The following is a 26,244-nucleotide window of genomic DNA, read 5'->3' as shown; positions in this document are numbered from 1 at the left end:
TTGGAAGGCTGAGGCAGGAGAATTGCTTGAACTCAGGAGGCGGAGGTTGCAGTGAGCCAAGATCGCACCATTGCTCTCTAGTCCAGGTGACAGAGGGAGACTTCATCTCAAAAAAAAAAAAAAAAAAAAAAACACACACACCTAGGAAATGCAATGCAAACTTATCTACAGCGATAGATCAGAGGTTTCCTGGAAGAGGAGTGGCTGGAGGGATGACAATGCGGCAAGAGGAAACTTTTAGGGGTGATGGATACCTTCATTATCTTGATGAGGTGATGGTTTCACTGGCATAAACATACCAAATTGTACACTTTAATATGTGCATTAACTGTATAACAGTTATACCTCAATAAAGCTGTTTAAAAGTACTTACAGAAAAAAAAAAAAAGGCCTCTTCCAGGCCTGGTATATTGTGTTTATATCACCCTCTTTTCTAAACAAGTTCATATCCCGAAAAGTCACAGAACTGTAATACCTTTCCCCTGGTGATTTGCATGCATAAACAAAACCTTAAAGCCCAGAAATTTAATTATCATAAAATTTAACAATAGTTAATTAATATTTACATGGCTGTGACTATGTGCCGGGCACTATGACAAGCATTTTTCTTGTATGAATTTATCTAACGTTCACATCAACCCTATCTTACAGATGAGGAAACTGAGGTAGTGAAGGGATAAGTTATCTGATCAAGGTCACAAAGCTGATTAGTAGAGGAGCTAGAATTTGAACCCAGGGAGTCTAGCTCTAGAGTTAATTTCCTAACCCATCATGTTCTACTGCCACACACAATATGAGGTATGTTAATACTAGAAGCAATGAATATTGTACTTGTAAAATACTTTTCTTTCTCACACTCACAGAATATAAACATTCACTACAATTGGCAACACCACATGAAACTAAATAAAAAACAACAGTGGCTTTATTTTCTTTTCCCAATTAATAGATGGAGGGAGGAGAAGCAGAAAGGCTGGACAACTTTCTTAGGACACAGAGCAAATAATTGGCAAGTTGACCAGTTACTGGGAAGCTGGTTCCTTACATTCTTAATCCAGATCTTTTCATGGTTTTCAAAATCCCGATTATTTTAAGTAACACCATAAGGGAGAGAAAATCTAACATAGCAACATAAAACGTAAAAGTTGTTTCTGTTTTCTCATACTCCTTACTGGCTCTTTAATTTCATCCAGAGGGTCTCAATCTCTGCAGATACAGGGCTGGAGTCTGTTTTTAAAGCTCCCAGGTGATTGTTACGTGCAGCCAAGGCTGAGAACTCTTGATTTAGTCTTCTCATTAAAGAAAGACAGAAGGCAGCTGGGTGCAGTCGCTCATGCCTGCTTTCCTGCACTTTGACAGACCAAGGCAGAAGGATCGCTTGAGCCCAAGAGTTGGAGGTTACAGTGAGCTATGATCCCACCACTGCACTTCAGCCTGGGCAACAGGGTTATACCCTGTCTCAAAAAATAAAAATAAAAGAAGTAAAATAAAATGGGAAGACAGAAGAAAGCAAGGTGCCACAAAAAGCTTTGGTAAACCAAGGCCCAAGGTTTTCCAAGTCAGTATTGAACTGCTGTCCACATGCAAACTTTTGAGTTCAACTTTTAACAAATTAAAAGTACAAATATGCATACAAGATATGAGAAAGCAAGAAGCACAGTAAACAACTTTTAAAAAAAAAACGCAAACCAGTGGTAAATTGGATGCTAAGACTTACAGAGAAAACCCTACATTTCAGATGTTATAACAGAAATTACATATAAGTATATTGGGATGACAAAATCTCTTTTCAACTTTTTGGAAAGCTAAATTGACGCCCTAACATCAAGTCAATGAACTAAAAGCACAGAAAAAAACCTGTCAAATATCCATTGCATTTAGAACATGCAATAAATTGATAATACACTGTGAATCTAGTTAAGAAGCACGGGTTGAACAAAGAATGGGCCAGGCCGGGCGTGATGTCTCAGGCCTGTGATCCCAGGACTTTGGAGGCCAAGGCGGGTGGATCACCTGAGGTCAGGAGTTCGAGAACAACCCGGCCAACATGGCGAACCCTGTCTCTACTAAAAATACAAAAATTAGCCGGGGGTGGTGGCGCGCGCCTGTAATCCCAGCTACTGGGAACGCTGAGGCAGGAGAATTGCTTGAACCCGGGGGGCGGAGATGGCAGTGAGCCAAGATCGCGCCACTGCACTCCAACCTGGGCAACAGAGCGAGACTCCATCTAAAAAAAAAAAGAAAGAAAGAAAGGGCTGTATCTTTAGCCCATGCCCTGAATCAATGTTCCTTGAACTTTAAGGTACACTTCTTGAGGAAGATTCTGATTCAGCAGCTCTGGGGTGAGAGTCATGAAGTGTAATTCTAACAAGCTCCCAGGGATGCTGATGCTGGTGGTAGGTGAAATGAACTTGGAGCAACAAGGCCCTAAGTAACTGGAATATTAGTTTTAACGCTAGCCAACTGGCTTACAAATATCGTTATGTCTAGGATCCAAGAAGTAAGTGTCAATACCATTAATTCCTACACCCGGCCAAAAAAATTAAAAACTAAAAATAAAAAAAAATAGTTCAGGGGAAGGAGAAAGCAAATACTTGTTTATACAGTCTAGCAGTGCTAAGAACCATAAAATACTGTTATTTGTCTCAACCTAGTAGATGTCAAGGTGATAAAATGTAGGCTCCATGAGTTAATGGATTTTTTTTAGCTAACTCCTGAATCCTTATGGCCTAGCACAAATTAGGTACTCAAGAAATGCAATGAATAAATGAATGAATGGGAAGTATATACAAACGCAATCTGTATTTACCTCACATCTCCAAAAATGTCTGGGAAGGGGGAGGTATTTGTACTGCTGGATGCAGGTAGCCATGATTTGATACAAATACCTGGCCCATCTACTGCATTCCCTTTGTGCAAAGACAGTTAACTTTCCTGAATAATATCTCCACCGTAATGCCCATGCTCATGGCATCCTGATGTTTAGCAACTTTTTGGCTTTTTGAAAACAATGAAGAAAGGTGGAAGTACAGGGAGAAGGATTCGGAAAAGTCTCAAAAAATCAAAGCCAAAAACCAGGAGGGAGGAGATGGGCAAACAGTTCAGTTCACTTGAAGGAACATCTGAGGTTGTCAGAGGTCCATGTGCTTACCTATGATGGTGGCGGGGTTTGGGCTCGGGCTTTATATGTTTTGTTACTGTCCAGGGTCACTGGCGGAGTAGTACCTGGCTGTGGAAACTCGGACTACACAGGTAGCCGGAACTGCAGCCAACCTTCAGAAGCTTAAGGGAAGCACTTTCGCGCTTACTTCCTCCTTCCCAGGGTCTCCGCGCGCGTTTGGGAACTCAGCCGCCGCCCAAACACAAAATGATCTGGGCAGCTTCGCTGCAGGATTGAGGCCACAGCCAGGATTTAAGATGGCAGCGAAACACTTCGATGGCCCGTGGAATCTGCCCAAAAGAAAAATGGCCTCTGTTCAGAATATCGCGGCTTTCAAAGTGGGCCCAAAACAAAAATGGCGCCGGACGCAGGCTATTTTTAAAGGCTGGGACCCCAATGACTCTCATTAGCAAATAACGTATCATGGTAACTCACGGTGCTAGGCAGTTGAACTGACCGAGAGAAAAAAAAACGCTTTTCTGTGGTGTGTTTTCTTAACATTGGAAAATGACTAGCTCAAGAATGGAACATATATTCGGTGCGAAAGATTGTGAGAAAGGAAAGGTAGCTTTCACAGTGCCGGATAAATTTTAATAAAAATAGCCATGTTTGAACATAACTTCCTATATGTTTTTTAATGTTAAAAGAGAATAAAAGTTTTGTCCTGGAACCCAGAAGCAGGATGGGGAAATGCCGGGTGAATTATCTAATCTGTGAAGAGTACGAGCTGCGAAACTCCGCACTTCCCTGTAAGCCCTCAGGAAGGACTGAGGGCGGATGCTTTAGTAGAAGGCAACTAGCTCTCACGGCGCATGTCCGTTTTCCAAACCCGATCCCGGGAGTTACGGGAGAGTAAAAATCCTGATTTTCCAGACAACCGCACAGAGAGGCGGGATACTGGCGCTGAGCGACAAATCCAAGCGCTTTGTAATTGGTCATGTCAGGACAGAGAGCAGAGCGCAGTGGACTATTTCTTTCTTTCATTCAATAAATCATTGTCAAGCGCTCACCAAAAGGCAGAAGCTGTGCCATTTTGATATGTTATTTAAATTTTATGCGTTCTTTTAAAATTTCAGTTTCAACAATTTGCTGGAATATACGCTGAATAAACTTCGCTCCCCGTTTTTTCCGGTGACGGCCGCTGTTGGCTGGAGCTTCACGGAAAACCCGGAGAAGCGGAGTGGGGGCGGCCCGGCGTCGACCGCAGAGCTGCGCGTGCTCCGTGCCCTCGCGCGACGCGAAGGTTGTCGGGATCCGCGGCAGCAGCGGCTGCTTGAGATCTGTTTCTGGGGCCTCTGGCGGTGGCGGCCTGGGGCGGCGCGACGGCTGGTGCGCAGGTGAGAGCGCTGGGACTCTAGGTGGAAAAGCCCGCTTTGTGTCCGGCCGAAGAGAGGGGAAGGGGCTTGTAGGCGCCTCCCTCTCCACCCCCAAAGGTCACCGGTGTCCTCACTGAAGGATATTTGAGGGCGGGGACAAGGAGGAGGCTGGCTCTCTGTAGGAGGCGAAAGACCGACCTCTGAAATAGCTGCCGATGGTAAATGTTGCGGTCGGCACGGATGCGGGCGGCGAGGAGGTCTTCCCGCCGGTGGGGAGAGCTGGAGGAGTGGCGCCTCACCACGCTCCCACCTGCGCTGCCGCCTTCTACGCCGAACCTGTGACTCCCCGTCCCCTCCCTCGCTGGGAGGGGCCCCGTGTGCCCCTGACTGTCTGGAGGGTGCACGGTGTACCCCAGGCTGTCGGGAGGTGGGGGCCGCCCTCCGACGGCGTTAGAGACGTTGTGCAGCGTGGCCCTGCCAGCTACGTGAAAGCAGCCGCGGGGCTTGCAGGGCTGTGGACCTTGTAGGGATGACCCTCTAAGGTCATGCTCGTCTTCCTCCCCGATAAGACCATACCCAAATCCTGTTGCCGTTTCAGAGACTCAATATGACGGTTTCATTCATTCATTAACATCTTCAGTTTATCCATAAACAGATATACACGTGTCTACAGCACTGCCGAGTTAGTAGATACGGCAGTGACCAAGAGGGACTTGCACGGTCCTGACTCCATGTTCTAGTGATGGGGGAGAAACAATACGCTCCCTATCCATGAGTTCCGCATGTGTGAATTCAACCAACTGCGGATAGAAAATATTTTGGGGCGGCGGGGTTTGGTGGCTCACCCCTGTAACCCCGCACTTTAGGAGCCCGAGGCGGGCGGATCACTTGAGTCAGGAGTTTGGGGCCAGCCAGGCCAACGTGGCGAAACCCGGTCTCTGCTAAAAGTACAAAAAAATGAGCCGGGCGCAGTGGCGCACGCCTGTAATCCCAGCTACTTGGGAGGTTGAGGCAGGAGAATCGCTTGAGCCCTGGAGGCGGAGGTTGCGGTGAGCGGAGATCACGCCACTGCACTCCAGGTTGGGCGACAGAGACTCTATTTAAGAAAATAAATAAATAAAAACATTCTGGGGGAAAAAAGATGGTTACATCTGTACTGAACACGTGCAGACCTTTTTTCTTGTCATTCCCTAAACACTGCAGTGTAACAACTACTTACATAGCATTTAACGTTGTATTAGGTATTATAAGTAGCCTAGAGATTATTTAAGGTACATGGAAGGAGGTGGCAAGTTGTGTACAAAACTACACGATTTTTTTTTTTTTTTTTTTTTTTTTTGACAAAGAGTCTCGCTCTGTCGCGCAGGCTGAAGCTGGATCTCTGCTCACTGTGCAACCTCCGCCTCCCGGGTTCAAGCAATTCTCCCTGCCTTAGCCTCCGGAGAAGTTTGGGATTACAGGCACCCGCCACTGCACCTGGCTAATTTTTGTATTTTTTAGTAGAGATGGTGTTTCGCCATGTTGGCCAGGCTGGTCTTGAACTCCTGACCTCAGGTGATCCACCCGCCTCGGCATCCCAAAGTGCTGGGATTACAGGCATGACCCACGGCGTCTGGCCTACTACACAATTTTTAAATCAGGGACCTGAGCATCTGGATTTGGGTATCCATCATGGGTCCTGGATGCAATCCCCCAAATACTGAGGGGTGATTGCACATTGATATTGAGCAAGATGTTTCTAGATTGTCCTAGGTTGGGTTTCCTGAGAATCAGACTCTGAGGAGATTTAGAGGCAGGACATTTACTAGAGAAGACTTTTTGGATGATTACCAAGGAAGAAAGGAAGCAGGATTGGGCAATAGAAAAAGTTAAGCTGCAGTGAAGTCTCAAGGATGTTCTCCACCAGTCCCACAGGAACTCTAGTGCTGGGTTGGCCCTTCAAAGTTGAAGAGAAGGGCCAGGCTTTTATACCCCTTGATTGATCTGTCGTTAGATGTCTGTTTCCCTGGAAAGGGCCTAACTTCAACTCTCTTCAGCCAAGTCAATCATGGACGGAGGCTGGCAGCCGAGGTCTGTCTCAGCTCTTCCAGGAGCTGGGGAAATAAGCCTTTCATTCCTTAGGGGGGTCAGGGTGGCACATCACAGCATTCATCACAAAGGTAGGGCTTTGAAGGAATCACGTGCTAGAGAATAATGGGGAGGGAGAGGGAAAACACTTTAGGTTGAGTGCTGAGAGAAAGGCTCTCTGAGTAGGTGACATCTGAACTAAGAGCTGAAGCAGAAGAATAAGCCATCCTCTGTGGACCAAAGGGGACAAGATTCTCTACTTTTCTGCTACGCACTAGGAATATAGCAGAGAAGACAAGTGGCTGCTACCTTCTGTTATCGTGGGTGGCAGTGACTAGTTTTTCTAGATCTTGACTCCCTGCCGTAACTAAAGATGGAGTAAGTAAAAATGGATTGAGACTAATTCAGAGGAGGATAGAGGAAAAAATGAGAACTATGATTTTGAAAAATGAGTCAACTTGGTAAAGACTTTATGCAGTTTTTTGTGCGGGTTTGGTTTGGTTTGGTTTGGTTTGGTTTGGTTTGGTTTGGTTTTTTGACCCTATACAGCATTGAGTTATGTTTTATTAAGATTGTCCCATTATCTTCTCAAACCTGTATTCTCCTTGAGGACAAGAATCATGCCTTACTCTTCTTGGTAGTTCCCCCCTGAGGCTAGTAGTCTTGCTAGCACCTAATAGACACTAAGTGAGCATTTGGATAGAATTAATCTTGTACATATTTGAAGTGAAAATTGCTAATCCCTAAATATTGTGAATGTGGGATACATGACTGTGTTTGGATTTGTCTTTACAGTATTTCCTCACCTTATAAGTTGGAACCCAATTTTAGTCAAAATATTCGATGATAATATATAATTGCTTTGATCAAGCAGGAACCTCCAGGGGTGCCTATTTTTATATATGATTCGTATAAGATAATATACTCCCAATAAAAGTAATGGCTGCCGTGTATTGAGCACTTCCCACATGCTAGGCACTGTACTAAGCTATGAATGTATATAGTTCTCTTCATAATGTGGCCCCCTATTTCAGATCATGACATTGAGGCAGGAGAGAAGTAATTTGTCCAAGACCATAACTAATTTGTGGTGGAGGTTAGACTTTGATTCTCGCCATTACTCAATGCTTTTGCTCTTATGTAAAACGTTGTTTCAGACCAACAGCGTGTCTGAAAATGTCGACCAAGTTTCAGTCATTGTAGGATTCTCACATTTGATCACTTGGCTGCTCTATTAACTGTTATTAGAGAAACATACATGAAATTTTTCACCGTCTTTGCTTCTTTGCTCTGTATCAGTTTTCTGACTTCCTTCACAGCTTTCCTGGCTCTCACTTTAGAAGCTTGACAGTTATCTGTCCTATAATATCCTAGAATCTAATTACCAGATTCACTACCCTAGTCAAACCCCAAAGACCTCTGAACCTCTCTGTTGAGACTGGGTATTTTTATTCTTAGCTAACTAACTGAAACTGCCCAGAGAAGTGGGCCTTCCTTTATGGGGACCACTTCCCTTAGTTTGGGCATTAATTCTAATCCTCTCCAGTTCTTGCTATACTACAGGTTAATTCCAGTAATGTTTTTTTTCTTTTTGACATAATCAAAATAATAATAGCTAACAATTACTGAGCCCAGACAAAGTGCCAAGTATTGTGATAACTGCACAGCAAGCTTATGATATGGATGTTATTATTCACATTGTACACACAATGGAACTGAAGCACAATGAGATTAAGTGACTAATCCAAGGCCACACAGCCAGTTGTAAAGTGGTAAGTGAAGATTCAAAGCCAGGTGGTATGAGTCCACAGCTCATCCCTTAATCACTACATGACAATGCATTCTTACAAAAATGATTTAAAGTGCTTGACTTTCTGAAAACTGGTAGGCAGGATCTAGATCCTAGTGGATTTTTCTTTCTGCTGTACTAAGAAATTTAGATTTCACTCTAGTCAAAAATGTCACTAAAGGCTTTTAAGCAAAGCAGGAATACAACCAGATTTGTTTTTGTTTTTGTTTTTTTGTTTTTTGTTTTGCAAGATGGCTATATTAAAAGTGTAGAGAATGGATTAGTGGATGTAGACTAGAACAGTGGGTCTCAAACTTTAGCTTCAGAATTACCTAAAGAATTAATTAAAACACAGATTACTGGACCCCACCCTAGAGTTTCTGACTCAGTAGGTCAGGAGGGGCAGCTTGATAATTTGCATTTCTAGTAAATTCCCAAGTGTTGCTAATGGCACTGTTGAGAGGACCACAGTTTGAGAACTACTGGAATTGAAGCAAGGAGGTCATGTGAGGGCGCGAGGGTCTGGACTGTGACCCTAGGGAGGAGGGATTATGTAAAGAAACACTTATGTCAAATGGCAGGATGTGCTGAGTGAGTTGATGAGGAGCATGAGGAAAAGGGCAGAGTCCAGTATATCCAGATTTCTGAATTGAATGGCTTAGTAGATGATGCTTTTTGTTAACGAAACAGGAAATCCAGGTGGAACAGCAGTTTGGGAGGGAAAGAGGACTTATTTTTATATGAGATGAATTGAGACTATTTGTGGGGACGGTTAGTTCAAAGGTGTACAGTAGCAGTTTATTATGTGGGTCTAAGCTGGAGATGAACGTGTGAGAGCCAGAGTGGATGCATGATCATAGAAGTTTGGGGATTGAATGAGACCGCCCAGGAAACAAACACTACCAAAGACAGATCTTTGATAAGGATGAATAGGTGGATGGAAACCAGCAGGCTATTAAAGGAGACTAAGAAGGAACAGTATAGAGTCCTGAGTACTTAGGAGTCTCAAGAACACATCAAAAGGCTACAGGGAGATTATGTAAGGGGAAGGATTGGTGATCTTTATGGTCAGAACACTTTCCATGGAGAATGAAACAAAAGCAGATTGCTTGGGTTTGAAGATGGAATGGGAAGTGACTAGGAAAAGATGCATTATTTGAAAGGAAAGAGATTGTGTAGTACTGGGAAGGAAGATGGTAAAGGGCAGTTGCCTTAGGGAATTTGTTTTTGACTCTTTTCAGTGGAGAAAAATAGTCATAGTTATGCAAAAGAGAAAGGCCCTTAAGAGTGGAAGGTTGGAGGTAGATGAGAGGGGATAATGAAGTTAGAACCCCAAAGACACAGTAGAAAGTGGGACTGGAACACAGGTAATAGGAATACCAGTTCTTCTGACAGCAGGCAAGGAGTTTTATTTATTTATTTATTTATTGAGACGGAGTCTTGCTCTGTCACCTAGGCTGGAGTGCAATGGCGCGATCTCGACTCACTGTAATGTAACCTCTGCCTCCTGGATTCAAGCGATTCTCCTGTTTCAGCCTCCCAGGTAACTGGGATTACAGGTGCACCCACCACATCCAGCTAATTTTTCATATTTTTGGTAGAAATGGGGTTTCACCATCTTGGCCAAACTGGTCTCAAAATCCTGACCTCAAGTGATCCACCTTCCTCAGCCTCCCCGAGTGCTGGAATTAGAGGCGTGAGCCACCGCGCCCAGCTGAAAGAAGATTTAGTTGAGAGCTAAGGTGCACATAAGGGGACAACAAGTTAGAGGTGTTCATACCTAAAGAGCTATAATGTCCTCTGGCCAATAGGTTATCTGCAGAAATGAAGGTGGAGCATACAATTAAAATCTTGAAAATGATGAAGGGTAGAAATGGGCTCTTTAGGGATTCAGAACATACCAGGAACATAAAGTGTTTGCTGTAGCACTAAAGGCCCATTCATCTAGGTATCTGATCTGGAACAATCTGGCTATCTGCATGATACCTACTCCCCTCTCCTCCACCAATCACCAGCATCAAATGGCAGCCAGGGTGTAAAAACAGTGAAAGGGGACAGGATTCTCAGACAACTCTATAAACCACTACAACCATTGTGATAAACCACAGCTTGCTGGTAAGCTAGTTTTCACTTCTCATTAGTTGTTAATCACTTGCTTAATATTTGAGACTGCCTACAATTAGTGAAACCCCCATATAAGACTTATGATGCTTTCAGTATATTTTTTATTTACAAATACATTAAATTCACAGCAATGAGCAGGGAGGAATAGCAAAAGACATAAGATACTTACGCATACCTGTTTCGGCCTTCTGACTGCAGATCCACTCCTGACTCAGTTACGCTGTTAGCAGCCCAGCTCTTGGATATAGGTCAAGCTGACCTTGAATGGTTTGGTGGGGAAGGTGGTAGGATTTGCAGAATGGAAACTTTAGAACTCAATTATGATCCATGGGTTCATTAAGAATTACAGTATTGTTTTTGGGGTGTGTGTTTTTACAAGACTGGAGAAGTCCAGCAAAATGAGTGTTATTTTAGGTGATATAGTTGGAAAAGAAAAAGGAAAACGATTGTTCTGTTTACCATGTCAGTTCATTTCATAGCACAGTTGAAGACCACGTGCAGTCTTTTCTATTGTGTACACAGAAAAAATGCCACAATTCAAACTGCTGTATTAAAAATTGAGGATAAAAAATAACTTTTGAATGTTGATGATGAGAATTCAGAAATGAAGAATTCACAAATACCTAAAGCCAACATTGTCATTGTAAAAGAAAAGGCATAGTACAATTCCAGTAAACTTCATAAAGTTTCATTATCACAAGAGCTGGGTTAATTGGTTTTTAATATTCTATCTAATGTTCTTCTCATGATTAAATTACATTCAGTGGAAGTTTTTAAAAATTACAATTTTTTCAAATCACAACAGCAATTAAGACCAAAAAGAATCCGTTTTACACTGTGTCCAAAAGGCCAGCAGATGGCGCCCAGCAAGCCCAATAGGCAAAATGAGAACATTTGATGTAACATTCCCTGCATCCAAGTTATTTTAGGCCTAATTTTGCAGGAAGCAATTAAAAAAACTTGATGGCTTTAACTAATACTATGCTAGATAGAATAATCTGATGGCTAGATCCAGCTGTTTGGGAAGTTCTAGGAAGCTTGCTTGCCTTTTTGCCCTTAACCTTACTTTGTGTGTGTGTGTGTGTGTGTGTGTGTGTGTGTGTGTGTGTGTGTGTGTGTCAGTGTTTTCTTTTCTTGGCCTTTAAGCTACTCTAAAAGATTACAGTATTTATAATGAGGTAGAAGCATAGCAAGTTCTCCCTCTTCTGTTCATTAATCTCTTGCTGTCATTCTATACTGAGAACTAAATTAAAGAAAACTGAACTAACCCAGCTAATCTCAACCATTAGTAGGTCACGGATGTGTTTTTGGAGGATATAGACTCTTTTGCCCTCTAATTTTTTTGTTTTTCTTACCTCCAGAACTGTAAGATGCCCTCTAATTTTGGACAAGTGAAATGACAGCTGTTAACCTTTTATATACCTGACATGAAAATCAGCCAAGGACATGCCACGGGGCGTGCATGGCTCATGCCTGTAATCCCAGCACTTTGGGAGGCTGAGGCGGACATATCACTTGAGGCCAGGAGTTGAGACCAGCCTGGGCAACATGGTGAAACCCCGTCTCTACTAAAATACAAAAATTAGTCGGGCATGGTGGCGTGGGCCTGTAATCTCAGCTACCTGGGAGGCTGAGGTACGAGAATCCCTTAAATCTGGCATGCGGAGGTGAGCCGAGATCACACCACTACGCTCCCCCTTGGGCAACAGAGTGAGACTGTCCCAAAAAAAGAAAAAAGAACAACATGCCAGGCATGATGCCCCAAGCTAGTTGACCTCAGTGATCCTCAAGGGTGTGCCTCACGCCCTCCAAATGTTCCCCTCATCCGTGATCACACACTGGAAATCCTGATAGACAGTACTGCCCAAGCTGGGGCACTAATTCTTGACTTGAAGAATTGCTTAGTAGAGTACTAGGCAAGACTTTAAAGACTTCACATCTAAATTGAATGCCACAGTTAACTGACAGTAATCTTAGAATCAATCATTTAATGTTTCTTCATTTATAAAATGATCTCATAAAGTTGCTATGAAAGCAAAACAAAATGAAAAATATGAAACTTTTGAATAATTTAAGACCATACTTTTGAGAGAAGAATATGAAAAGCATAATCCACATTAAGATTGCCTCTAAACTTTTTCTAAACTTAACAAAAGACATTTTAGTAAATGAAACTATAAATATCAACTCTATTTTACTTGATCTAAAATTTACTAATCTCATTTCATGTCTCTTGATTTCTCTATCCTTCTAAAGGAGTCTTTTTTTAGAAATATGTTTAAAGAAGATTCAGGAAAGAAAGAAAGGGCAGTGGCAAGTACATTAGAGGGTAAGGAAGGGAAAAAATCTCATTTCTCTTGTTGCTTTGCTCCAAACTTGAAAAGTTCAATAAATGAGCATCAAACACTAACTTATTTTAGGGATTAACCAGTTACTGCTCATCAAATCTGATCATTTTGAGCTTATTCTTGAGAAATCTTTGTTTTAGACTCAGAATCTCTACAAGACAGTCCATGCCTCTTGGAACAACTTGCCAAGTGTTTTGAGGGAAGGACCATCTCAAGGCAAACTGTAAATAGCTTAAGTTTGTTTCACAAATTGGATCTCCCAGTCTGTCTGCTTCTCAGTATCATGAACCTTTCTAAAAGTCAAGGTTTTAAAAACTTTCTTGTCAAGTTCATTTGAAAAATGAGTTAATTTTTAAGAAATTTGTTAATTCTGAAAAGCAGCACATAGAGGCTTTGAGCATGGACTCTGGAGTATTTACACAAATATTTATTGCCATAGCATATTTTGCAATAAAGCATTGAAAAATCTCAAATTTCTTTCAATCACAGATTGGTCAAATTAGGATATCGCCATTATAATCAAATGCTGTATAGCTCTTAAAAATGATAATGGAGATTTATATTCTTTGCAAGAGGGATTACAAAACAGCATGTGTATCATGATCACATTTTTGTTACACCCAAAAGATTTTAGCTCTCTTTTCCTTGTTTCTATATTTGCTAACTTTAAAAAGTAAGGTTATACTATACTATATTTATTAGAAAAGAACAGTAATGCTAATTTTCTTTCTTTCTTTTTTTTTTTTTGAGACGGAGTTTAGCTCTTGTTGCCTAGGTGGGAGTGCAATGGCATGATCTTGGCTCACTGCAACCTCCGCCTCCCAGGTTCAAGTGATTCTTCTGCCTCAGCCTCCCGAGTAGCTGGGATTACAGGCGCCTGCCACCACACCAGCCTAATTTTTTGTATTTTTAGTAGAGACAGGGTTTCACCATGTTGGCCAGACTGGTCTCAAACTCCTGACCTCAGGTGATCCACCTGCCTCGGCCTCCCAAAGTGCTGGGATTACAGGCATGAGCCACCGTGCCCTGCTCTAATTTTCATTTTGTAAAAAACCACAGAGGAACTAAGAAGAAAAAAAGTGCTAAATTTAAATTGTATCCCCAAAATATGTTTGATTGTAAGTAAAAGCTCTGCAAGAGTTTATAAACAAAATAAATAACACATTACCTCGCTAACTACCATATCAAATATAAAATTTGAAAACTATTTTTTTTTTTGTAAAACTAGCAATGAGCTTTGCTAGTAAGGTATAGTAAGGTCTAATGTGTCTTGCCCTGAGAAGAGGTTATGCAGGCAATAGAATACATCCAATGTACTGGAGATTTTTCACTATTAAGTGAAAGAAATGAAGTAGTTTAAAGTTATATGCCAATGTCATTTTTTAAAAATATATGTTTTTTCTTTTAAAATAGAGATGAAGTCTCACTGTATTGCCCAGGCAGTCTCGAACTCATGGGCTCAAGCAGTCCCCCTGCCTGAGCCTCCTAGAGTGCTGGGGTAACAGGTGTGAGCCACTGTGCCTGGCCTTTTTTTTTCCTTTTTATTTAATATATATTTTTTTCTTTTAAAATAGAGATGAGGTCTCATTATATGCCAATGTCATTTTAAAGTGCTAATTCCATCTTGCTCAGTGAAAAGGGACTATTATATGTACAGTGTGATACTTATTGTTTTTATGTGAATTAAATGAAAACTCTAAAAATAGTTTGTAACGTGAAAAGCCCTTCCATACTGATCCTAATCATTTCCCAAGCCTCTCAAAGGACAACAGAATTATCTGTCAGAAAATAGTTACTTGCTCTCTCACCCCCATTAGCCAAATCAATATATGAGATATGGAGAATTTGAGGAAGTGGGGACATGTAGATGTTCAGTAAACATTAAAGCAATTAATCATTAAATCAGTCTACATCATTTACTAACCAGGAAATACTGTACTGAGTCTCAGTGATGTTTAGCAAATAGAGTTTTCAGTTAAAATAGATACTGATTTCCAGGTTTAACTAAACCTAAATCTAGAAAAAGATTCATCGATCCTTAAGTTATCCTAATGGAAAGAGTAATAGACTGTTAAGCACAATATACATAAAATTGAGCATTTCTTTTATCTTTAACTGGGAGATGACCTAAAGATTCACTAAGTATTATAGGGAGCTAACCCTATATAATTTTCACTCTTCTCAAAGAGGGTTCATACTATGTCATTACATGCTGTTAACCACTTTGCTGGAGAGAATAGTACAACACTTCCCCAAACATTAGTGTTACAGATTGTCATTTAATTTGTTCCTAATTTTAGTTCTTGAGTTACAAATCTCAATTTTATTATTACATCCTTTTATCCTATCCAGTCTCTTTTTTGCTTTTGGTTTGTTTTTTTGAAACGATCGCATTTCATCACCTGTCCTGGAGTGCAATGGTGTTATCTCAGCTCACCGCAGCCTCAGCCTCCCAAGGTCCAAGCGATCCTCCTACCTCAGCACCCCCCACGCAGCTAGAACTACAGGCGTGCGCCACCATGCCCAGCTAATTTTTGTATTTTTTGTAGAAACGGGTTTTGCCACGTTGCCTAGGCTCAAGTGATCCGCCCACCTCAGGCTCCCGAAGTGTTAGGATTACACTTTTGTGAGCCACTGCACCTGGCCCTAATCTCTTTTTATAAGCTAGGGTTTTTTTTCCTTGAGTTTATAGTTCAGAAAAAAGCTGACAAATGTTGAATTATGTTAATGATCATGGAGAAGTAAATGGTGAATGGCAGAAATGGCTCTTAAAAGTAATGTGACTTGAAGGGCCGGGCGCAGTGGCTCACACCTGTAATCCCAGCACTTTGGGAGGCCGAGGCGAGCGGATCGCAAGGTCAGGAGATCGAGACCATCCTGGCTAACACGGTGAAACCCTGTCTCTACTAAAAATACAAAAAATTAGCCAGGTGTGGTGGCGGGCACCTGTAGTCCCAGCTACTCGGGAGGCTGAGGCAGGAGAATGGCGTGAACCTGGGAGGCGGAGCTTGCAGTGAGCTGAGATCGCACCACTGCACTACAGCTTGGGTGACAGAGCAAGACTCTGTCTCACAAAAAAAAAAAAAAGATAATATAACTTGATAACCTCATGTTGAGGGGAATAGAGGTGCCAAAGTCACCTTAAGTATTGAGACTGGATATAAATAACAGTATCTTCTAGGCCTTTAGTTAAGGTGTTTGCAAACAAGAATGCCATATGTCAATCAACACAGGCCAGCTGACCTTTGGTGCAGCCTCTGTCCCTCCTATAAGTAAGTAGCCCTTAATAGAATTCTTCCCTCCTTACTCTAAATTCCTCCCCCAGTTATTTTATTGTACCCTTAAATTCCCAAAGGCTTTTGCCTTTGGACTTCACAATGAAATTTAATTATGATACAGTTATTTGTAATTGATTCCCTCTAAAAATGGAACATAAGCATGTCAATAAAAGGTGTATTCTCTAAAGGTTACAAAAAGTATATAGTATACCACAGTACGTTAGAAAAGGAAAAGGCCATAAAATACTTTCATTTACAAAGCAGGTCGTGTTTCCTCTATCTAGTAATTAAAATTTTGCCACAAAGTCCTTATAAAATATGAATTGAGACCTTTGGGAGAAATGATTTATAATGCTAAGAATAACATGTTCATAGCTATAAGATAACATCTTTTATTATTTTTAGTATGTATACACAGAACACAGATGGTTCAGACTATTTAACTCAGTACTATTGTGTTTTGGTCTTAAAAGGGGGAATAAGAAATTCTTTTCAGACCTTTTTCTAATGGCATTTAGACAAAAATAAAGTAATTTAGGAGATTTCATGGTACTAAAACTCAGAGATGCAATTGAGCCAAGTTCATAGCATGTCTCATAGATGGTGGAGCAGTCCTTATTAAGAGTATAAGGAGTCTTTAGAGGTTGTCCAGATTCAAGTTCCCAAACCCAACAGATCATCAAACATAGCATCTTTCTGGGCCCTACTTCCATCCTTTCCAAATTTAAAATATATATATATATATTTTAAAAGCTAACTAACTTTGTAACTCCAGGCAACTGTCTAGCCCCAGTTTCTTTGTCTAAACTAGGTCGATAACCCTGTAAGTTAGGGTTTTCTAGTGATTCAGGGCAAACACTCTAAAATGCAGTAGTTTTGCACATAAATGTGGAAATGGCATTACATTCATTCTGATTTGTAGCGTTCAAGCCAGAAATCTTTTACTGCAATTGGAATCCATGTTCAGCTGTTGCAATCGCAGTTGAAACACTATCACTACATCCTGTCAGAATATAGAACCTAAATTCTTACTGCATATTTGTGGATTACCGTTTGATTCTTCTGTTAAAATTGTGACTAAATGTAATTTTTTTTTTTTTTTTTTTGTGATGGAGTCTCATTCTGTTGCCTAGTGCAGTGGCATGATCTTGGCTCACTGCAACCTCCACCTCCCAAGTTCAAGCAAGTCTCCTGACTCAGCCTCCAGAGTAGCTAGGATTACAGGCATGCGCCACCATATCCGACTAATACTTTTAGTAGAAACGATGTTTCACTGTGTTGGCTAGGCTGGTCTCGAACTCCTGACCTCAGGCAATCTGCCTGCCTCAGCCTCCCAAAGTGCTGGGAATACAGGCGTGAGCCACCACCCTCAGCCTGTAATTATAATTTTTAAAAAATATAATTTAAAAAAAGGCTCTTACTCTATTGTGGCTCAGAGAACATTAATATATTTAAAGAACACTCCATGCATGTGTGTTTTCAAAGATTCATATAGCTTTTCCAGCAGGTAATGTTGCTCCTTTGCAATTGTTGCCAAAAAGTCAGTATTGCTCTGTAAGTTTCCCAAGGCTGACTGCCTGCTCCCTTTGGGTCAATGACATGTCTCTTTTTGTTTATTAACATTGCAATGTATTATAATTTAAAATGTTTAACAGTCAGCATTTGTTAGAGTACAGCATGCTACTTGTAGTGATTTAGAAATGTAATTAAAGGGAGGTTATGGGTTTTAGTGGTTTTTTTCCTCTAACTGTAACCTTTTCTTAGGTACACTGATGCTGAAGTACTATGAGCCTTCGGAACTTGTGGAGAGACTACAAAGTTTTGGTTGTTATGGTCCCTTTAGTTGGGCTCATACATTTGGGGTGGTACAGAATCAAAAGCAGCCCTGTTTTCCAAATACCTAAAAACGACGACATTCCTGAGCAAGATAGTCTGGGACTTTCAAATCTTCAGAAGAGCCAAATCCAGGGGAAGTAGCAGGCTTGCAATCTTCAGGTAAGTTCCATTTAATCTGGTTGGTTAATCATATGGCACATTCCAACAATGGGAAACTCAATCTTTTAGATCTCTGGCAAGGAAAAGCCTAAATTGGTAAGTTACCTGTTGTTTTTATTGTGACCCACTGGCAAAATACTATTCTGCAGTTGTTTCTAGAAAAGTTCGTTGTGCAGAGACATTTGACACTTGCCTGGCAGTCAATTGAATGCAAAGGGAAAGAGCAGTTTTGCTAGCAGCATCACCAGGATCATGAATGTGTGCAAAGGAGCCCCTGACTCCTTACCATTACATATCACAAAAGTCCAAATTTATACAAGATTATTTTCTTCTATTAGTGTTCTTTTTTTTTTAACAATACAAAACTAATTGTATTCATTTCTTAACATCAACTATTTTAGCTTGACCATAATTTGTTACTTTTGAGAGTCACTGAAATAAAGAGGATGAAGTTATATAATTTAGGTCTATAGTCCCTTATCCATAATTCCAAAATTCAAAAAGTTCTCAAAACCAAAACATTTTATCCTCACTCCTTTGACAGCAAAACTTGATCTTAACTGACATGAGGCAATTTGCAGTGCAGTTGTCTCCCTTTATCCGCAGTTTGGCTTTCTGCAGTTTCAGTTACCTGCAGTCAACCCTAGTCTGAAAATATTAAATAGAAAATTCCAGAAATAAACAATTCATAAATTTTAAATTATGCACCTTTCTGAGTAGCATGATGAAATCCTGGGATATTCTACTTCATCCACGCAGGATGTGAGTCATTCCCTTGTCTGTCTACCTGCTCGTTAGTCACTTAGCAGCACTCTGGGTTAGATCAACTGTGGTGGTATCTCCGCGCTTATGTTCAGGTAACTGTTACTTTACTTCACAATGTACCCAAAGCACAGGAGTATTGTGCCTAATTTATAAATTGAACTTTATCATAGGTATGTATGTACAAGAAGAAAACATAGTATATATAGGGTTTAGTGCTATATGTAGTTTCAGGCATCCACTGGGTGGTCTTGGAACATATCCCTCATAGATAAATGGGGGAGGTCACTGTTTTTATTCCACTTAATATGAAAATTGAGTTTCACTGCAGAAATTTTATTGGCATTTGTCACGTTTGATTTACTATAATATAGCGTTATACTATATTATGATTATATTGATTATGTATGTTATATACACTATATTGTATTTATAAAATCTAAGAAATTCTGAATTATGAAACTCATCTGGCCCAAGGAGTTTCAGATAAAGAACTGTGACCCTGTAATTGTAAAGCATTTTCTATTATAATTTACTTTTTAACCTTGAGGTGAATAATATGCTCTAAGTTTTGTTATAAGATAGATGAGTGTAAGGTTCTGCTCTTTATGGAAGAAGAACCTCAGTAAGATTTTCCTTATTTATAAGCCTTGGTCTGAGATTTTGACTTTTGGTATAATTACTGGTTTCAACAATATTTTAAATCAAGATTTTACTTTTAAATGTTCATAAGCAGAAGTGGAAGAGCATAGCTTAATATATTAGACAATTATTAAATATAAAAGCCAGGTAGTAACATAGAAGCTTAACAACTTAAAAGAGTAACTTTAGGACATTCTATATAAAATTTGTATTTATAGGAAGAGTTTTAATATATATAAGCAGGGAGTTAGAGAATTTATTAGGTGCTGGATTTTTATATATATAGTCTTTCAGACTAGTAAGACCATTATATTATGTATGTATATTGTACTTATGACAAGAAGTAAAGAACAAAAAGATGTCTTAACAGTTTGGAGGCCAGGTATGGCCAAACTTTGGAGGAAGAAAATCAAGTAGTTTCTTCTCATGCAAAAAGAAATACTCTTGGAGGAAAAATAGAGCTGAGAAAAGAATCTCCTCTAAAATGTTAGGTGAATGTAGTAAGAGATTTTAGATGCCAGTGCAGCAATAGTTAAAAGTTTTAGAGGCTAACATTTCCAGTCAAGCAAGCAGAAGCAGATATTTAAACAGGCTTTTAGTAAGCAAAAGTTAGAGCCGGATTTAGAGTAAGTTAAACACAAATTCCGAATAGTTGAAGTACATCAAAAGAATGCATTTATTTGTCTCTTATTTTCTATTCTTATTTTCATTATGGAAAATTACATACATGCCTCAAGATAAAGAGAGGATAGTATATTGAGCCCTCAAGTATCCATCAACTGGCTTTAATAGTTAATGGCCTTTTGCCACAACCAGCTTTAATAGTTAAGGGCATTTCGCCACAACCAGCTTTAATAGTTAACAGCGTTTTGCCAGTCTTCTTTTATCCATCTTTTCCTCTGTTTTTTGAACTGCTAGAATATTTTAAATCAAATCTTAAGCTCCACTATGTAGTCCTTTTGTATGTGTCTTTAACAGTAAGAATAAACACACATACACAAACACATTTGCATTATCACCTAGAAAAACTTAACAGTGACTCTTTACCTACAATTTGATACCCAAGGCCATGTTTATATTTCTGAATTTGTCTATAAAAAATCTTTTCAGGTGGTTTGTTGGAATCAGGATCCAAACAAGGTCTACGTATTGCATTTGATAGATAATATCTCTTTTCAATTCCCCTCCTAAATCTGCCTTTTAAAAAATTTCCCACATTCTCAGTTTGGCTGATTGCTTCCTCATCTTGTCATTTAACAATTTCCTCTTTCTCTCCCCTATTTCCTGTAATCTCGTAATTATATCAAGAGGCTACTTTCATTTGTTTTTTTAATTTACTTTTTGAACAAGAATACTTCATGGATGGTACTGTGGAATAGATCCTAGGTAATCATGTTGTTTCATATATAATGTCTGATCCACTTTTGATGATGATGTTGATTTTTTTTTTTTACAGAGAAGGCTACAGTGCAGTAGCAGTAGCATATCATAGCTCACTGCAGCCTCAAACTCTTGGGCACAGGCCTTGATTTGTCACCCAGGCTACAGTGCAGTAACATATCATAGCTCACTGCAGCCTCAAACTCTTGGGCACAGGCCATCCTCCAGCCTCAGCATCCCAAGTAGCTGGGACTATAGGCATCCGCCACCACACCTGGCTAAGTTCTAAAATATTTTTAGAACCAGGGTCTTGCTGTGTTGCCCAGGCTGGTCTCAAATTTCTGGCCTCAAGCAATCCTCCTGCCTTGGCCTCCCAAAGTGATGGGATTACAGGCAAGAGCCACTGCGTCTAGCCAGTGTTGCTAAGATTAACAGGCAAGTTAGCAGTGTTTCTTTCCATTATAAAGTTCCCCTTTGATTTTTTTTTTTTTTTTTTTTAAGATGGAGTCTCACTCTGTCACCCAGGCTGCAGTTGGGTGATGTCGGCTCACTGCAACCTCTGCCTTCTGGGTTGAAGTGATTCTCCTGCTTCAACCTCCCGAGTAACTGGGATTACAGGCACCCACCACCACACCTGACTAGTTTTTTGTATTTTTTTAGTAGAGACAGGGTTTCACCATGTTGGCCAGGTGATCTTTTACTTAATAATTATTAGCGACTATTCATTATCATTGCTGTAACCTAGAAATTGGCAAACTTTTTTTCTATAAAAGATCAGATAGTAAATATTTTAGGCTTTGCAGATCATATAGTGTCTATACCAACCCTTCAGCTTTCTGTTGTAGTGTAAAAGCACTCATACACAGTACACAAATTAATGAGCATGGCTGCTTTCCAATAAAACTTCATTTACAAAAACAGGCAGCAGTCTGGATATGGTCCATAGGCTTAATTTACCAACCACCATATATGGGTCTAATGCACTATTTCATTAGGGGTTGCCAAATGATGCTGCTCAAATTCTATCATTCCTTCTCCATTTATTAGCTGGAACAACTTTCCATCGTCAACTATTCAGTTACCCCAAAATGCATTTATACAAGGAAAGCAAGATTAATGTTTTATCCCTGTAATTCCCTTTATTGGTTTTTATAATAATGAGTGCTCAAGCCACTTAGGGTTTTTGTTTTTGGTGTTAGTATGAACCTGTGGGTTTGCATTTATTTCAGTTATATTAATCTGTTGCTGTCGTCATGTTTTTTTTTAATGCTAAAGTTGTCCCATTTTGGATCCTCTCCAAGTTGACTCCTGTTGTTGTTTTTCCTTTGTCCTTGTGATATGACCCACGTAGTCTTTAATAACATCCTTACTTTTGGGCAGAAAAGGACCCCAGCTTACCTTGTGTATTTCTTACCTCATACCTATAATCATTCTTTTTGCCAAAGAACTCCATTTGCTTTTAGGAAAAACTTTCACCTGTTTGTATTTTCTTTAAATCATATTTTATAGTGCACCTCTTAATTTAGAAGAAGTCATGCAAGTTTTACTGTTATTTTAATTAAGTTATCCATCACTGCAACAACAACAAAAACCCATCTGCCAAGCCCGTGCATCCAAGAATAGTCAGGACCATTCGTCTAATGGTAACTCTTGGAATTATGGAGCACCTTGTTTAGGAAGAAAGAGTTTTAATAGAGCTGAACTGATACTTCCAAACATGTTCTATAAACCAGCCCCAGTGGTTTGGTTTTTTTTTCTCTTTTCTCTTTCTTGTACCTTCTTTTGTTCAGGTCTAGACCTGTGACCACAGGTCAACAAGTTTTGGCATCTTTAAAATGATTTGGGAGTCACTACCACTTTCAGTGATTTCTTTGTCATTTTAATGAAATACTAGCCAAAAGATATGTGTACTGGTCTCACTACTGTAAGACTGACAGAGGTGCCAACATGGCATTCTGTTTTTGAAAAGTTACATGACACTATTAAGTATTGAAAATGTTCTAACTAGAAAAACGATTTTCTTAATCATAGTTTTTATTGTGGGGTGTGTATGTAAGTTTTAACGTGCAAATTAACATATAGAAGTCACTTTGTGAGGTTTCATTTAAATGTATTTCTCAGATTTTGCTGAATCTGTAATAGCCATTGAAATATTTAAGTACCTTGGCTGTTCCTGGCATCAATAAACAGATTTTTCTTTCCCTCCTCATGCCATACAAAAGTTGACAATAGCTTTATCACCACAGGAAGAAAGCTGACCATCATTGCCCTTTATTTGGGCCCAGTTGCCATGGTTACAGCCCTTTAGCTAAATTGGGAATGGTAACCAAAATAACATTTGCATAACATTCCCTTGTTCTGCCCACCTCTTTGCACATCTTCAAATCAAGGTTTTGGTCTGATCACCATACTATGCTGTAGCCTACTTTTAGGAAGTACTTTAGGCTAAATAGATTTGTTTCATTTATGCTAAATGCTCTCCTGGACACTACCATACTCAGCATATTCCTGGAAATACTAACGAATAATATACCTTTAAAACACCCGGCCTCAACAGATAAGATCTATGATCTAACGTTTTTATTCTTTTCACACATTATTATTAATGTGTCAGGAATTTATGCCTCAAGGCACACTTTTTTTTAGCAAGGACACTACCTTGTTAAGGAAACTAGAATTGTATTTCTACATGTCCTTTTGATATATAACATTTTATGGTATTTAGACTTTGAAATTGAATTGCAACTCAGATCCTATTTTTATTGTTGTTGTTATCCAGCATATCCCTTGGTTTTTGCATGTACTGTCATTAACCAGTGCTTTGGGGAGGATTCGTTGACTAGGATTTCCAAAACTGAAAATCATTGATTGATAACGTAAAATGATAGAAAATTAGCTCTGACTTTAGCCAGGTGTTTAAAACATGGTTTGTTTTTTGGTACAATGTGTTGTGCAGAATTATTCAGCTAAATATAGACTATACATTAGTGAGTTCCTGCAGTAGACATGCCAACAGCTATCTTGTTTTTATAATTATTTACAAACATGACTTGATATAAATGCACTTCTGTTCAAACCTAAAGTTTCCAAGCAAACCACAATTATAGATAAAAACATAATATTAAATCTTCATGTTGGAGAATAAAGATATTTGGGACTTCTTTTAAGACTCAGAGACTTGCCGGGCACAGTGGCTCACGCTTGTAATCCCAGCACTTTGGGAGGCAGAGATGGGCAGATCACCTGAGGTCAGGAGTTCGAGACCAACCTGGCAAACATGGAGAAACCCCATCTCTACTAAAAGTACAAAATTAGCTGGGCATGGTGGCGCATGCCTGTAATCCCTGCCACTGAGGAGGGTGAGGCAGGAGAATTGCTTGAACCCAGGAGGCTGAGGTTGTGGTGAGCCAAGATCACGCCATTGCACTCCAGCCTGGGCAACAAGAGCGAAACTCCATCTCAAAAAAAAAAAAAAAAAGACTCAGAGACCTAATTCTCTGTTTTATATCGTAGCATTTCTCTCCTAGAAGCATGCCATATTCAAATAACTGTGCTGTAAGCTTTCTAGCCATGTTGTTGTGCCTTACAGAATCACTGAAATACAAGCACTTTTTCTTGTAGAGGGGATTTATTGAAGAATAAAGGAATTTTAAGTCAAAGTTGGTCTACCTTTCTCATTTTCTGGACGTTTGTGCCAGTTAGTAGTTCCTTTTTCTAAAAAGGCAGCAGAGCATTAGAATAAATTATTAAACTGCAGTCTACAAACTGCTTGGGAAGTATTTCTCTAAAATGTTTTTTTTATTATTTATTAGGTAAAGAAGCAGCTTTGAATCTGAGCTTCATATCGAAAGAAGAGATGAAAAATACCAGTTGGATTAGAAAGAACTGGCTTCTTGTAGCTGGGATATCTTTCATAGGTGTCCATCTTGGAACATACTTTTTGCAGAGGTCTGCAAAGCAGTCTGTAAAATTTCAGTCTCAAAGCAAACAAAAGAGTATTGAAGAGTGAAGTAAAATAAATATTTGGAATTACTAATTTGTCATTAAATCATTCTATGCTGATTAGCTTCATAAACATTGAACTTTTTGATTTTATAGCCACAATGCTGCATATTCATACTTTAATTCCTAAAGAATAATTTTTAATGTTAAAACGTGATAATGCAATAAATAGAAAAATGTGGTTTACAAAATAAAAACGGTCTTCACTAGTTACCACCTGAAGTAAGATGTCTCGTTTGGAAGCTAAGAAGCCATCATTGTGTAAGAGTGAACCACTGACAACTGAGAGAGTCAGGACCACACTTTCTGTCTTGAAAAGAATTGTAACATCATGCTATGGCCCCTCAGGTAGGCTGAAGCAGCTGCACAATGGCTTTGGAGGTTACGTGTGTACAACCTCACAGTCCTCAGCTCTGCTCAGTCACCTTTTGGTCACACATCCCATTTTAAAGATCCTGACAGCCTCCATACAGAATCATGTGTCAAGCTTCAGTGATTGTGGCTTATTCACAGCTATTCTTTGCTGCAACCTGATTGAAAATGTTCAGAGATTAGGCTTGACACCCACCACTGTCATTAGATTAAATAAACATCTTTTGAGTCTTTGCATCAGTTATCTCAAGTCTGAGACCTGTGGTTGTCGAATCCCAGTGGACTTTAGTAGTACTCAGATCCTCCTTTGTTTGGTGCGTAGTATATTAACAAGTAAACCTGCCTGTATGCTCACCAGAAAGGAAACAGAGCATGTCAGTGCTTTGATCCTGAGAGCCTTTTTGCTTACAATTCCAGAAAATGCTGAAGGCCACATCATTTTAGGAAAGAGTTTAATTGTACCTTTAAAAGGTCAAAGAGTTATAGATTCCACTGTATTACCTGGGATACTCATTGAAATGTCAGAAGTTCAATTAATGAGGCTATTACCTATCAAAAAATCAACTGCCCTCAAGGTGGCACTCTTTTGTACAACTTTATCCGGAGACACTTCTGACACTGGAGAAGGAACTGTGGTGGTCAGTTATGGGGTTTCTCTTGAAAATGCAGTCTTGGACCAGCTGCTTAACCTAGGAAGGCAGCTAATCAGTGACCACGTAGATCTTGTCCTGTGCCAAAAAGTTATACATCCATCTTTGAAGCAGTTTCTCAATATGCATCGTATTATTGCCATAGACAGAATTGGAGTGACTCTGATGGAACCCCTGACTAAAATGACAGGTAAAAATCACTCTTTGCTTTTGCCTCTTACAGTTAATAAATCACACTTTTTTGAGCAGAGATATTTTTGGTTTGTGTCACTGTTAACATCTTGAAAAATTGACCCAGCATGTGTCAGTATCATTTCTGGCAGCAAAGGTTTCTGGAAAAGATCCTGTATTGTTCACAT

General features: G+C 39.8%; 4 protein-coding genes across 6 annotated transcripts in view, besides 6 other annotated features; 3 read left to right on the top strand and 1 right to left on the bottom strand.

Moving 5' to 3' along the window:
* Positions 1–3,300, bottom strand: part of SLX4IP (SLX4 interacting protein) — a 192,726-nt gene extending 189,426 nt beyond the window's left edge. The window contains exon 1 of the mRNA NM_001009608.3: positions 3,152–3,300. The gene's annotated coding sequence lies outside the window, so the exon portion shown is untranslated. The remainder of the gene's footprint in view (positions 1–3,151) is intronic.
* Positions 3,147–3,196: an enhancer, noted in NCBI's record as "active region_17544". NCBI's record gives its function as "activates an Ori minimal core promoter by ATAC-STARR-seq in GM12878 lymphoblastoid cells {active_cell/tissue: GM12878}" and the evidence as "EXISTENCE:reporter gene assay evidence [ECO:0000049][PMID:35858748]".
* Positions 3,357–3,586: an enhancer, noted in NCBI's record as "active region_17543". NCBI's record gives its function as "activates an Ori minimal core promoter by ATAC-STARR-seq in GM12878 lymphoblastoid cells {active_cell/tissue: GM12878}" and the evidence as "EXISTENCE:reporter gene assay evidence [ECO:0000049][PMID:35858748]".
* LOC128706665 (uncharacterized) lies at positions 4,383–24,897 on the top strand. Its single transcript, NM_001394148.2, has 3 exons — positions 4,383–4,497; positions 17,847–18,077; positions 24,674–24,897. The coding sequence occupies exon 2, from the start codon at positions 17,868–17,870 to the stop codon at positions 18,057–18,059; it is 192 nt and encodes a 63-aa protein (NP_001381077.1). The 5' UTR covers positions 4,383–4,497; positions 17,847–17,867; the 3' UTR covers positions 18,060–18,077; positions 24,674–24,897.
* LOC128706666 (uncharacterized) lies at positions 4,383–24,897 on the top strand. The gene is made up of 3 exons (NM_001394149.2): positions 4,383–4,497; positions 17,847–18,077; positions 24,674–24,897. The coding sequence occupies exon 3, from the start codon at positions 24,718–24,720 to the stop codon at positions 24,868–24,870; it is 153 nt and encodes a 50-aa protein (NP_001381078.1). The 5' UTR covers positions 4,383–4,497; positions 17,847–18,077; positions 24,674–24,717; the 3' UTR covers positions 24,871–24,897.
* The window catches only part of MKKS (MKKS centrosomal shuttling protein), a 33,214-nt gene continuing 11,352 nt past the window's right edge, over positions 4,383–26,244 (top strand). The window contains exons 1-3 of one of the 3 annotated variants that reach the window (NM_170784.3): positions 4,383–4,497; positions 17,847–18,077; positions 24,674–26,075. In NM_170784.3, coding sequence (NP_740754.1) covers positions 25,091–26,075 — 985 coding nt within the window. In that variant the 5' untranslated portion in view covers positions 4,383–4,497; positions 17,847–18,077; positions 24,674–25,090. Of the gene's footprint in view, positions 4,498–6,679; positions 6,922–17,846; positions 18,078–24,673; positions 26,076–26,244 lie in introns of those variants that run through there. The other 2 variants (NM_018848.3, NR_072977.2) reach the window with 2 other exon arrangements.
* Positions 4,477–4,536: an enhancer, noted in NCBI's record as "active region_17542". NCBI's record gives its function as "activates an Ori minimal core promoter by ATAC-STARR-seq in GM12878 lymphoblastoid cells {active_cell/tissue: GM12878}" and the evidence as "EXISTENCE:reporter gene assay evidence [ECO:0000049][PMID:35858748]".
* Positions 6,487–6,988: an enhancer, noted in NCBI's record as "NANOG hESC enhancer chr20:10412265-10412766 (GRCh37/hg19 assembly coordinates)". NCBI's record gives its function as "activates a minimal SCP1, AML or CMV promoter by ChIP-STARR-seq in naive H9 embryonic stem cells {active_cell/tissue: H9 hESC(naive)}" and the evidence as "EXISTENCE:reporter gene assay evidence [ECO:0000049][PMID:30033119]".
* Positions 10,293–10,342: a silencer, noted in NCBI's record as "silent region_12671". NCBI's record gives its function as "represses an Ori minimal core promoter by ATAC-STARR-seq in GM12878 lymphoblastoid cells {active_cell/tissue: GM12878}" and the evidence as "EXISTENCE:reporter gene assay evidence [ECO:0000049][PMID:35858748]".
* Positions 18,108–19,307: an enhancer, noted in NCBI's record as "P300/CBP strongly-dependent group 1 enhancer chr20:10399946-10401145 (GRCh37/hg19 assembly coordinates)". NCBI's record gives its function as "activates an origin of replication core promoter dependent on BRD2, BRD4, P300/CBP, MED14 and CDK7 cofactors, with strong dependence on P300/CBP, by STARR-seq in HCT116 cells {active_cell/tissue: HCT116}" and the evidence as "EXISTENCE:reporter gene assay evidence [ECO:0000049][PMID:35650434]".

This window comes from Homo sapiens, chromosome 20 (assembly GCF_000001405.40).
Source record: "Homo sapiens chromosome 20, GRCh38.p14 Primary Assembly".
NCBI classification, from domain to species: Eukaryota; Metazoa; Chordata; class Mammalia; order Primates; family Hominidae; genus Homo; species Homo sapiens.
This window is presented reverse-complemented; position numbering and strand designations above follow the sequence as displayed.